The sequence below is a fragment of the Homo sapiens genome, chromosome 12 (genome assembly GCF_000001405.40).
Source record: "Homo sapiens chromosome 12, GRCh38.p14 Primary Assembly".
Lineage (NCBI taxonomy): Eukaryota > Metazoa > Chordata > Mammalia > Primates > Hominidae > Homo > Homo sapiens.
This window is the reverse complement of record NC_000012.12, coordinates 6,901,549-6,914,327: the sequence shown is the minus strand read 5'-3', so window position 1 is coordinate 6,914,327 and position 12,779 is coordinate 6,901,549. Positions and strand designations below refer to the sequence as shown.

General features: G+C 47.4%; 1 protein-coding gene across 3 annotated transcripts, besides 2 other annotated features; it reads right to left on the bottom strand.

Annotated features, from left to right (window-relative positions):
* Positions 76-245: an enhancer, noted in NCBI's record as "active region_5890". NCBI's record gives its function as "activates an Ori minimal core promoter by ATAC-STARR-seq in GM12878 lymphoblastoid cells {active_cell/tissue: GM12878}" and the evidence as "EXISTENCE:reporter gene assay evidence [ECO:0000049][PMID:35858748]".
* On the bottom strand, positions 99-9,506 carry LRRC23 (leucine rich repeat containing 23). Of its 3 annotated transcripts, none has more exons than NM_001135217.2 (8): positions 9,253-9,506; positions 8,569-8,743; positions 8,374-8,483; positions 7,666-7,919; positions 6,883-7,013; positions 4,302-4,438; positions 1,301-1,598; positions 99-437 (listed from the first exon to the last, which is right to left on the bottom strand). In NM_001135217.2, exons 2-7 carry the CDS (start codon positions 8,692-8,694, stop codon positions 1,325-1,327), a joined length of 1,032 nt encoding a protein of 343 aa, NP_001128689.1. In that variant the 5' UTR covers positions 8,695-8,743; positions 9,253-9,506; the 3' UTR covers positions 99-437; positions 1,301-1,324. The 3 variants fall into 3 exon arrangements, with proteins under 3 accessions (NP_001128689.1, NP_964013.1, NP_008923.1); NM_201650.3 differs by having other exon boundaries at positions 9,425-9,506; NM_006992.4 differs by lacking the exon at positions 1,301-1,598 and having other exon boundaries at positions 9,425-9,506.
* Positions 276-345: an enhancer, noted in NCBI's record as "active region_5889". NCBI's record gives its function as "activates an Ori minimal core promoter by ATAC-STARR-seq in GM12878 lymphoblastoid cells {active_cell/tissue: GM12878}" and the evidence as "EXISTENCE:reporter gene assay evidence [ECO:0000049][PMID:35858748]".
* Positions 9,507-12,779: the final 3,273 nt, after the last annotated feature.

The window sequence follows — 12,779 nt, the reverse complement described above, 5'->3', positions numbered from 1 at the left end:
GGCAGAGCCGCACCCCTGTAGCCCGGGTACGAAGGCCCACACTGCCAGTGAAGCCCAAGACAGCCTCAATGTCTCACAAACCCGGTCAGACACAGGAGCATCACTCTGTTTCTTTATTGGAAATCCGAACACCCCAGCCGCCTTCGCAAGTCTCTCCAACCACTCCTACCAGCACCCCGCGGCCCACGCGGTCTTGGCTCTCACCCACGCCTGCCCGAGGGCGGCCCCCGGCCTAGGCTCCAGGCAACGCTCAGGCCTAGGCACCCCATTCTGCACCCCACACTGCCCAGAGGACCGGCACAGAGCAGATCCTGGGCCTCAGGTTGTGATGAATTTCCAGCTTTGGGGCAAAAACAGGCATCCTCTGTTCTCTGTCATACATGTGGTGGCTGCCCCTGGGAGTCTGATCAGGTCTGAAGGCCAGCGTCTTTGATCTCCTGGAGGTAGAAGACAGAAGTAAATAGGGACCAGGCGCTGTGGCTCACCCCTGTAATCCCAGCACTTTGGAAGGCGGAGGCGGGCAGATCACGAGGTCAGGAGATCCAGACCATCCTGGCTAACGTGGTGAAACCCCGTTTCTACTAAAAATACAAAAATTAGCCAGGCGCGGTTGCATGCGCCTGTAGTCCCAGCTACTCGGGAGGCTGAGGCAGGAGAATTGCTTGAACCCAGGAGGTGGAAGTTGCAGTGAGCTGAGATTGTGCCACTGCACTCCAGCCTGGAGACTAAGCAAGACTACCTCGCAAAAAAAAAAAAAAAAAAAAAAAAAAAACAAACAGAGGTAAATAAAGCCTCTCCCCTATCTAAAGTGCCTGGCGGCCACCCTCATCTCTTCAGTCTCTTTTTGCCTCACTCTGCCCTCTTTTCTTCCCCCATCTCTGTGTCCTGTTTTTAGCTTCAGATTTTTTGTGCTGGATCTTCCTCTCCTGCTTCTCTCCTAGGTCCAGCTGCATACACCACCAACTTTCCCCTGCAGCCCCTACCATGCACCCACACCTGTCCTTTCCTAGCCGACTTCACTCTGTGTCAGGTATGGCTGCCCCACCCCCCACCAACTCCTCTGCCTGCCACCCCAATTCTTTTCACTTACTCTTCTGGCCTCCTAAGTCTTTCTCAGCTGGTCCCAGGCCCCTTGGGTCCCTTTTCCTCTCCCTGACTCCTAACCCTCCTCTCTTTAAGGGTCCTGCTTGTCTGATGCTTTCCTCTCCCACCTCCTTCTGCAGCAGCTTCCCCTCTTGCCTCTTCCCCTACCTGCCCAGCCCTTGGCCTCCTCCCACTGCCTCCCTGCAGGCTTCCTTACTATCTTTAGAGGCTAGAACTGCTGCTAGATCAATGACTGTTCGGGTTCCAGGTCACGCTGGGGCTCAGGCTCCTGCTCCTTTTCTTCCTTCAGCCTCTGTCGAATCACATCAGCCTCAGCCCGTTCCTCCTCCTCATAGAATTCCTTGTCCAGGCGTTCAAGGTATGGCATCTGCACCAGGGCCTCCTGGCGGTAGCTGGTTTCGTCCGTGCATGGGTTATCAAGCAGCACCAACGCTCGCAGCTTGGGCAGGTCTCGAAGCTTGGCCAGCTCCCCCAGGTTGGCCACCATGTTGCCCCTGCCAGTGTGGTCAGGAGGGGTTCATGCAGGAATAATGGGCTTTGGTTGCCAGTTGCTAGGAATGGGGCCTCTGGGGGACTCTCGGGGTTCCAGTGTCCCTAGAAACACTGTGAGGACTGGCCTGCCAAGCCTTGCCAGATTTACTGCAGAGGTGCTGTGTGACCCCGCTCTGGTCCTGCTTCTGCCCTTCAAGGAATCCCTAAGTGCCATATTCTACTCTGTAATACATTCATGTGTTCTTTTGGTGCAGCAAAGCTAGGCCACAACCCTGTCTTGTAGCTGGGGAGGAGAGGGCAAATTTTCCTCACAGGGAGAGACATTTTCTGTGATCACACCTAAATGGAGGGTAGAAGGTAGGACCCAGCCTGGGCAACATAGCGAGACCCCATCTGTACAAAAGCTAAAAATAAAAAAATTAGCTGGGCGTGATGGCATACACCTGTAGTCCTTGCTACTTAGCTGAGGAGGAGGGATTGCTTGACCCCAGGAGTTTGAGATTACAGTGAGCCGAGATCGAGCCACTGCACTCCACCCTGTAGGACCTAGGTCAGTGGACAAGGAACTGGGATCTAAGCTGGAGTTTAGGGTGGTGGATGCTCGGTTCGTGCTCTCCACAAAGAGAACCTAAGGCTATGGATGGGTTGGAGCCTCCCAACCTGAAGAATAAACTTCATCTCCTAATGTGCCTCATTATATGATACTCTGTTTTTATTTTATTTTTATTGAGACAGGGTCTCACTATGTCACCCCGGTTGGGGGTGCAGTGGCATGATCATAGCTCACTGCAGCCTTGAATTCCTGGGCTCAAGTGATCCTCTCACCTTAGCTTCCTAAGTACCTCCAGGCATGTGCCACCACACCTGGCTAATGTTTAAATTTTTTGTAGAGACTGGGTCTCACTATGTTGCCCAGGTTTGTCTTGAACGCCTGGCCTCAAGCAGTCCTCTTGCCTTGGCCCCCCCAAAGTGCTGGGATTACAGGCGTGAGCCACCATGCCTGGAATTTTATTTATTTTCATGTTCTGGCTTTAAGCTTTTATGAAATCTATTTAAGTGTTTCAGCCTGATCTCATGGTCGTGCTGAGCCTCATGCAGTGTTTCTCACCAGGAGGGCTACAGGAACTTTGTACTGGACTCTGCCATACATTGTTGGATGCTTAGCATCTCTGGCCCCAGAGGCACCTGCCAATCATTGAGACACCCTCACCCCCCTCCACACACACACCCGACTTACTCTCAAAACATCCCCATTTAATAGCCACTCAGGAAGGGTCCATCATGCCTGTCTAGATCATTAACAGGAAGATGGCACAGATACACACCCCACCAGATCCGTGTGGCAGAGTTCATGAATAAGAGAATGCCCAGGGGGTCAGGATGAGAGTTGGGGCTTCCAGATGCAACCACCTCTCCCTACTTGGAGATGCTCTTTCCATTACCAGCTCAAGAATCTGGTCTTGTTGACTAAGGAAAGAGGCAGTTTCCTTACATGTTTGCTGAAATAAACACACATAAAGTCCTCCATCCGACAAGAGTTGCTGATCTTCAGTGCCTTTCTACCAAAAGATTTTCTTACAAATGTCCTTCTCTCCTCAAATCTGAGCACATCTTGTGTTTTTTTAATCAGTAAAAAGGTCATCCCTTACAGGTGGGGCTCAGGAGAAGAGAGGCAGGAAATGGGAAGGTGAATTGGGACCGAGGAAATGGAGAAGGGCAGTGGAAACTTATATAGGATAGGGTGAGGAAAAAAGAGTTGGAGCCAGACTGTGAGCCCCTTAGGAACAGGAATCACCTCTGATTCCTTTCTTTCTTTTAGAGACAGCTCACTCTGTCACCCAGGCTGGAGTGCAGTGGCACAATCATGGCTCACTGCAACCTTGAACTCCTGGGCTCAAGTGATCCTCCAACCTCAGCCTCCTGAGTAGCTGAAACCACAGGTGTGCACCACCAGGCTCAGTTAATTTTTATTTTTAATTTAATATTTTAATTTTTATTTAATATTTTATTTTTGTTTTGTTTTTGAGGCAGGGTCTGGCTCTGTCACCCAGGCTGGAGTGCAGCGGCTTTATCTCAGCTCACTGCAAACTCCACCTCGAGGCTCCAGCGATCCTCCCGCCTAAGTCTCCTGAGTAGCTGGGATTACAGGTGCCTGTCACCATGCCTGGCTAATTTTTGTATTTTTGGTAGAGATGGGATTTTGCCATGTTGCCCAGACTGGTCTTGAACTCCTAGGCTCCAACGATCTGCCCACTTCGGCTTCCCAAAGTGCTAGAACTACAGGTGTGAGCCACCATGCCGGGCCATTATTTTCACTTCTGTAGAAACATGGTCTCACTAGGTTGCCCAGGCTGGTCCTGAACTCCTGGCCTCAAGTGATCCTTCCTCCTAAAGTGCTGGGAGTACAGGCATGAACCACCATGCCCAGCCTCTGATTGCTTTAAATGTCCCCAAAACACAGCACAAGGCCTGGCACATAGCACATTCTCAATAATTGTGGATTGAATGAATAAAAATTCAGGGGTCACAAGCTATAAGGGATTTAGTGTTGCAACTCAGTGCAGAAGAAAGGAAGGAAAGCCGGGCTTTCCTTGAGAATCCAGCTGTGGGCTAGGACTGGGGGATTGGGCCAGGGAAGAACACAGACTCAAAAGCTGCACCTGGTCAGGGGTAGGGGCAAGGTGGGGCTTGGAGAGGGTGCATACCTCAGGTTGAGGTACTGCAATGATTTCATTTCTCTGGAGAAGCCACTCAGGGTGTCAATCTGGTTGTCTCGAAGATGCAAGGTGGTGAGATTGCTCAGATCCTCCAAGCCTTCCACCTTCTTCAGCATGTTTTGGGCCTAGACCCCCAGGGCACAGTGGATTGATTGAGAGGGAGCAGGGATAGGGAAGAAAGAGAAGTCAGAATGAGATAAAGCAAAAGAGGAAATCCAAGAGGTAGAGAGGGAGGAGTGGAAGAAAGGAGTGGGGGTGAGTAGAGATCAGTATAGAAAGTAAAGAAGTTCAGGAGAAGCTGCCATCCCAGAGAAAGGTCAGCAGTAACCCTCTACCATTCGCCCCATCAAAGCCACTTGGGATGGAGGAGATGCTTCAACCCACCCCTACCCGGCCCAGGAGCCCCCAGGCCACCACTGAGGATTGGCATCAGCACCATCCCAGAATAACGAAGCTTAAGAGTCTAAAAGACTAAATATTTCAGTGGCTTCCTGTGGAGTTATTATATATATAATATATAATATATTATATAATATATAAAATATATATTATATATTATATATTATATACTATTATATATAATATTTATATATTATATATAATATACTATTATATATAATATTTATATATTATATAAAATATATTATATATAATATACTATTATATATATTTATATATTATATATATTATATATAATATATACTATTATATATATTTATGTATTATATATAATTATATATAATATATTATATATAATTATATATAATATATAATTATATATTATATCTAATTATATATATTATATATAATTATATATTATATATAATATATAATTATATATTATATATTTTATATATAATATATAATATATAATATATAATTATATATTATATATTATATGTAATTATATATTATATATAATATATAATTATATAATATATAATATATATTTATATATAATATATAATTATATAATATATAATATATATATCGGTTTTCATCCACAGTCCCTAGCTTATAACCCCCATAATAGCCCTTCTTGCAGTCTTTTGTTATAAAGTTGGGTGTGCTGGGCCTCAGGGGCAGGTCTCAGGAACTTCTCCAGCCGTCTTTTCACCTGCTCCAAGAGAAAGCGCTAATCTTTCCCCCCACTCCCTCTTTCTGACTGTGATTCTTTCTTTTTTTTTTTTTGAAACAGAGTCTAGCTCTGTTGCCCAGGCTGGAGTGCAGTGGCGCAATCTCGGCTCACTGCAAGCCCCGCCTCCTGGGTTCACGCCATTCTCCTGCCTCAGCCTCCCGAGTAGCTGGGACTACAGGTGCCTGCCACCACACGCAGCTAATTTTTTTTTTTTGTATTTTTAGTAGAGACGGGGTTTCACCGTGTTTTTCTTTGGTTTTTTTTTTTTTTTTTTTTTTTTGAGATGGAGTCTTGCTCTGTCTCCCAGGCTGGATTGCAGTGGCGTGATCTCAGCTCACTGCAAACTCTGCCTTCTGGGTTCAAGCCATTCTGCTGCCTCAGCCTCCCTAGTAGCTGGGATTACAGGCGCATGTCAGCACACTGGGCTAATTTTTGTATTTTTAGTAGAGACAGAGTTTCGCCATGTTGGCCAGGCTGGTTTCGAACTCCGGACCTCAGGTGATCCGCCCGCCTCAGCCTCCCAAAGTGCTGGGATTACAGACATGAGCCACCGCGCCCGGCCTGATTGTGGTTCTTAAGACCCTCCCCAGCGACAGCCTCCCCAGTTTCCTGGGGGAAGGAATACTAAGATCATGAAGCTTCCATGAAAAGCCAAGAGGACTGGGTCCAGAGAGCTTCTGGGTAGCTGAACACGTGAAAGCTTTTGGAGGGTGATGCATCTGGGAAGGGCATGGAGCACTGCACCCATATCCCCATACTTCGCCCTAAGCATCTCTTCATCTGTATCCTTTGCCCTTGCAATAAACTAATAAAAACCACTCTAGAAAATTAATTAAATCCAGAGAAGAGGTCATGGGAACCAGCTTCATGTTGAAGCTGGTGTGTCAGAAGTTCTGGAGGCTTGGACTTGCAACTGGTGTATGTGGGCGGTGTAGGGGTCACTCTTGGGAACCGAGCCCTCAATCTGTGGGATTTGATGCCATCCCCAGGTAGACAGTGAATCGAATTAGAGATCACCCAGCTGGTGTCTACTACTTGGTGTATGGGGAGAAACCCCCACACCTTTGGTCCCGGAAGTCGTATGTTGATGATTGTTGTGGTGGTAGTGTAAGAGCTGAAGAAAAACCCAGTCTGAGAGGAGGGTTTTCCTAAAACATTTCCACAGACTGATGTTTGTACCTCAATTATGGTCCATTTTGCTACTACCTGTATCAAGGTAAATTATCTCTGTATTATCCACACATTATATATTATCAGCCCTGCTAGGTGGCTGTGTATCTCCACAGCATCTGGAACCAACTATGGTCTTGATAATAATACCAGTTATTATCATAATGATGAAGTTAGTAGCTGAGCCTACTAGAAAGCAGGCATCCTGACCCCCAGGACAGTGCCCTCTTCCCTGCACCACCCTCTGACCCAGTGAGCTACCAGGTAGAGGTTCTTCAGCTTAGGAAGATTGATTCCCAGGGTGCTTTCCAGCTGGTTCCCCCGAAGCTCCACTGTGTGCAGGCTGATCAACTTCTCGGGGTCCAGACCTGTCACCATGTGGATGCTGTTCCCTGGGGAGGAGGGTTTCAAGAGCTCAAAGGGCCACTCCAAATGCTCAGCATTAGAGCCTGAATTTGGGGAGCCTCTAAATCATCCTACCATTCGCAAAGCAGGGTAGATACTGAGGAAGGCCAGCTCCAGACTTAATACCTCTGGAGCCCTGAGGCAAGTGGTGTGGTAGGTAGTCCAAGGTCCTGATGGACATATCCACCTAAGCCTTTGAAGAGTGAATGAAGCAGCTGACATGTCTAATTCCCTCTCCTTCTTCAATTCTTTGCTCAAATGTCATCTTCTCAGTGATGGTTGTCCTAACCAATCTATTTGACATTGCCACCTGTGTCCCCCATTCCTCTTACTCTGATCTATTTTTTCCAAGGCACTTGTCTCCTTTTAACATGCTACATGAATGTACTTACTGTGTTTGTTGTTACTTGTTTGTCTCTCCCAATTAGAATATAAGCTATATGAGAATAGGGACGTTCCTTGTCTTATTGGATCCTATATGGTTAGCATGTAGAACTGTCATAATGAATCATATTGCGTATCTGAATGAATGAATGAATGCAGACTGCCATGTGCCCTAGCCAAGGACCATACTGCCCACTTCTGTTGGCCTCAGGCTAGGAAGGAAAGAATCTTGTGTAGCCCATCCTAAAGACCCACCTTTGAGATTCAGGGTTTCAAGACGAGGATGAGAGATGCCTTCAGTGTCAGTAATCTGGTTATAAGCAAAACTAGCAATCTGCAGGTAGGGCAGTTCATTCATCTGGGCACTTCGCAGCCGATTGCCATCAGCCTTGAGCCAGAGCAGGTGGGTGAGGTAGTTGAGTGGAGACAGGTCTGTCAGGTGGTTCTCAGAAATATCCACATAGCGCAGATGGATGTAGGAGCGCAGCAAGTAGATGTCTGTCAGGTCCCTAGGAGATGGAAGAGGGAGAAGAAACCAGGTTTAGGGTTAAGCACCCAGTGAGGACTGGCAGAGTTGCTAAAGCAGAAGGCAATATGGAGATGGCTTATAATGGGGAGAAGAATGGGCAACAGATGGTAGGGGAGAAGAAGGGTAAGAGAAGGTAGGTGGGTTCTTAACAGTGGGCAGAGAGACCTGTGTCTGTGAAGGACAGAGAACCCATACTCTGAAAGACAAATAAGGGAATCCAGCAGGAATCCCCCCATATACTCTCAATCTCCAATTCCCCAGGTCAGCTTTGATAGGAGAAGTCTCAGAGCTCCTGAAAAGTAAATTCTGTCCTTCCCTTTCCACTAGGCATGAGAAGAGTCAAACTCTCAACCAGAACACCCAGGAATGACAGTGGGAAAGGAGATAGGGGCCCTACAGTCTCACAGTCCTCATCTGGTCCCCCCAAAACGCACCTCTCTTTAACCTCCAGCTTGACATAAGCATGAGCCAGCCCATTGCCTGTCTTACAGAGCAGAGAAAGCCCTTCCTTCATCATGTCCTCCGTGAGGGGGGTGGGCAGCCACTGCAGGTAGAAGTGGAGTAAGGTGTCTCTCCCCTGCCCAACCCCCTCCTTCAGCCCTAGGACCCCTCCTTGTCCAGGCTCTCACTTCCTCAGGGAACTCTTCCCCCTCTTTTCTGTAGTCCTCCCCCTCCTCTGTCTCCTTCTCGTCCTCTTCTTTCTCAGAATCATCCTGGTCTGGCTCAGAGTCTTCTAGATCATCTTCATCTGACATCTTTCTTCCCTCCTGAAAGCTCTGGAGTCAGATAAGCTCAGTCCTCCTCCTGAAAAAGAAGGTCTCATCAGCTTCTGCCAGCCTTCAGCTCCTTCATCGTCATTGACACGTGCCACTCCCATCACCCCCATGACTTCTGACCCACCAACTCTAGGCTTCTTTCCTTATCCCTGTGAACATCTCATTTTGATTCTCAACTCCCACTTCACACTTTCCACTGAGGACCCCCTCCCTTCAGGATGTCACCCACACCCCCAGGCCTTTCCTGTCCTTCACAGTGACTCCAGCTCTCCTCCAGCAGCCGGGTGTCCCTATTTCCTGGGCTTCCCTCTCCCCCATTCTTCCCACCTCCCCCTTAAGCCATGCTCTCCAATCTTCCCTACCAATTCCTCCTCCTCTCCTCTCAGCTCCCATTGCGCCATCCGTAATCCCTGCTCCATTCATTTCTTCTACTTTTCCCTCCCCACTGGGCCAATTTCCTTGGGCCCTCTGGTACACCAGCCTAAAGCGCAGTCTCCAACCCTCCCACTCAATTCGCCTTAGCAAAGGGGCTCAGACCCTGTTTCTGCTCAATCAGAAGCAGTTCTGGAGAGGCCCTTGGTCCCGAGAGGGAAGGACTGTTTAGCAAGCGGGCGAGGGGAAGGAGGGGTTGTGTACTGCTGTTATGGCAACGGGGACGGGGCACTTGGCAACTGCAGCTCGCCACCGTTGAGAGTAGAGCGGCGACTACCTGATGCGCAAATCAGCCGGGGAGGGGATTGATCAGTAGTTGCCTGGTTACCACGCCACTTTCCCGTCCCGGGAACCCGGATGAGGCGCGGAAGGGGCGTTGGGCCGCTAATTGGCTGAGGACAAAAAGAAGTGGGCAGGGCTGAGAAGCGAGAAGAGAGGGGGCGGGGCTAGTCATTACGTCACCCAAGACCTTAAAGGGACCGGACATCTTCAATGCAAAAGTATTGTGAATTCAGGAAAAACTCGTCCTTCGAAGCAAAAAGGGCGGGGCTGCGAGGAAAAGCAAGAAACACCAAGATAAGGGGTCTTTTCCCCTTCCCCCTATAGTTTCTGCTCATTAGTTATTTTCAGGTAGACCTTTGGAAGGTGGCTTGGTGGAGCGGAAGGAGTCCAGACCCAGATACCTTAAGAACTGGGTTGGAGTCTTGGCAGATCTGCATTTGCTAGCTAAACGTACCCAAGACTCTTTGTTATCTGTAGAATTAGCTTAACTATATCAACTGACAGGGATCCAGTATGAGTTATCCTGGACTGGTTTGATGCAAACCTTTTAGTGGGTGGAAGGCAGAAAATTCAACATCTGCCCACTAAAATACTCCTGATCCAACGTTGTTATATCAGTAATCAACAGGAACTGGCATAGCCAAACCCAGGCACTCAGGCCTGTCTGACATGTTGAAGGAGATGAAAAAGATGTTGAGATGCAATAAATATTTCTGGAGAGTTTGTGCGAGACATTATGTCAAACATCTTTACAACTGATATTTAATCTCTGCAACAGTCCTGTAAGATAGACATTTGAAAGAAGAGGATACTGAGGCTCAGGGAGGTTAAGATGACACAATTCCTGCCTGGGGAAAGGGGGATGTTACCAATCTTGTTGTGGAATCTAATGTAAATGAAACAATGAGGTAACCAGGTAAGATGGCATGTGATTCATTGTTAAATTGTGCCCACAGACTTTATATAACGGCAAAGTGGTCTGGTGGAAGATGTGGTGGGCAAGAAATCAGGAAGTATTATATTACCTCCTGCCCAGGGCAGCTTGGAGGAATGTGGTTAATAGGCAAATCTGTTTACTTGGTGTCATGGAACCAGTAGGGACTTTAAAGTCAGAGACACCAGCTTCAAAACCCATCTCTACTACTTAATACCTGTGTGTCCTTCAGCAGGTTATGAAATCTTACTGAGGTCTAATTTCCACAGTCGTGAAATGGGGATTATTAAAACGTCCACCTGTAAGGATTGTTAAGGGATTAAAAGAGATAATGTGGGTAAATCGCCTTGCACTTAGTTGACCCTTAGTAAACATTTTCCTGCTCCTCCCCACCCCTGGCCTGTGTCCTTGGTACTGGGGTTGCTGTGAGGAAAAAGAAATAATAAATATGAACACTCTGAAGAGTGAGATGTGCTATACAAATGAAAGTTATTGTATTGTTGGAGTGTGGAGAAGGGAAAAATCCATGTGGTTTGATGTAGTCAAAAGAAATGGATATGAGTTTCCTTGGCCAAGAAGAAAGAGGAAGACACATTAGATGGGAAGAAAAGTTGTGATGTAAGGGTTAGGAAGGTGTCCTTGAACATACACTTTTGTTATTTTGTTTTTATTTTTGTTTTGAAATAGAGTTTCCCTCTGTCGCCCAGGATGGAGTGCGGTGGAGCAATCATAGCTCACTGCAACGTCCACCTCCTGGGCTCAAGCAGTCCTTCCGTCTCAGCCTCCTGGGTACCTGGGACTACAGGTGTGCGCCACCATGCCAAGTTAATTTTTTTGTATTTTTTGTAGAGACAAGGTTTTGCTATGTTGCCCAGGCTAGTCTCAAACTCCTGGGCTCAAGCAATCCGCCCGCCTCGGCCTTCCAAAGTGCTGGGATTATAGGCATGAGCCACTGCGCCCTGCCATGCTTTTGTTAAGCACTTAATCTGTCCCTGTGCTCCGGGACAGTAAAGCACAGAAGTCCTTATCTTTTATCTTCAAGAGGTGTACAGTTCAGTGACAAGATTAAGTACACAAGTAATTCAATATAATGAGACATGTTATAATAATCATACCCAACATTTATAGAGCTTTTACTAAGTGCTAGGGATCATTGTATAGTATATGCATATACATGATATCATATATTCGGGGCAGAGATTTCAGAGGCAGGAATCACCTGTGGTAATGCTTGGAGAAGAAAGAGCTCAATGCCTGTGCAAAGAAAGCAGGTGGTTCTGCTGGCTGGAACAGTAGGTGCAGTCGGGGGTTGGAATATGGTAGAAGCAGTAAACAGACTTGGATCACACTGAAGGATCTGGACTTTATCCTGAAAGCTGTGGGGAGCTATTGAAGGTTTTATTTCGTGTTTAGTTGGCAAGGACTGAAGTTACACTGTGTAATGAGAGCTAGATACTCCACAACATCCTTGATATTTTTCCCCCATCGGCTGGTCTAGATAGAGTCTCTTTCAATTATAAAAGTAATATTTAGGCTGGGCGTGGTGGCTCACGCCTGTAATCCCAGCATTTTGGGAGGCCTAGGCGGGTGGATCACCTGAGGTCAGGAGTTTGAGACCAGTCTGGCCAATATGGTGAAACCCCGTCTCTACATACAAAAAATTAGCTGGGGTGGTGGCTCGCACCTGTAATCCCAGCTACTCGGGAGGCTGAGACAGCAGAATCGCTTTAATACAGGAGGCCTAGGTTGCAGTGAGCTGAGATCGCGCCACTGCACTCCAGCCTGGGCAACAAGAGTGAAACTCCGTCTCAAAAAAAGAAAAAAAATTAGCCAGGCGTTGTGGCTTGTGCCTGTAGTTTCAGCTACTTGGGAGGCTGAGACACGAGAATCACTTGAACCCGGGAGGCAGAGGTTGCAGTGAGCCGAGATCACGCTACTGCACTCCAGCCTGGGCAACAGATCGAGACTCTGTCTAAAAAAAAAAAAAAGCCAGGCGCTTTGGCTCACACCTATCATCTCAGCACTCTGGGAGGCCAAGGTGGGCGGATCACCTGAGGTCAGGAGTTTAACACCAGCCTGGCCAACATGGCGAAACCCTGTCTCTACTGAAAATACAAAAATTCGCCGGGCGTGGTGGCGGGCGTTTGTTATCCCAGCTACTCCGGAGGCGGAGGCAGGAGAATCGCTTGAACCTGGGAGGCGGAGATTGCAGTGTGCTGACATCGCACCACTGCACTCCAGCCTGGGCAACAGAGTGAGACTCGGTCTCAAAAAAAAAGAAAAAAAGATTTTTAGATTAGTTTAGGGTTTTTTTCTTCTAATTATTCAATTCTAATATGTCTTGGGCTTCTTTCATGTCACTAAGCATAAATCTACCTCTTTTTCTCATAGTTGTCTAGTCTTCCATTATGTGGAT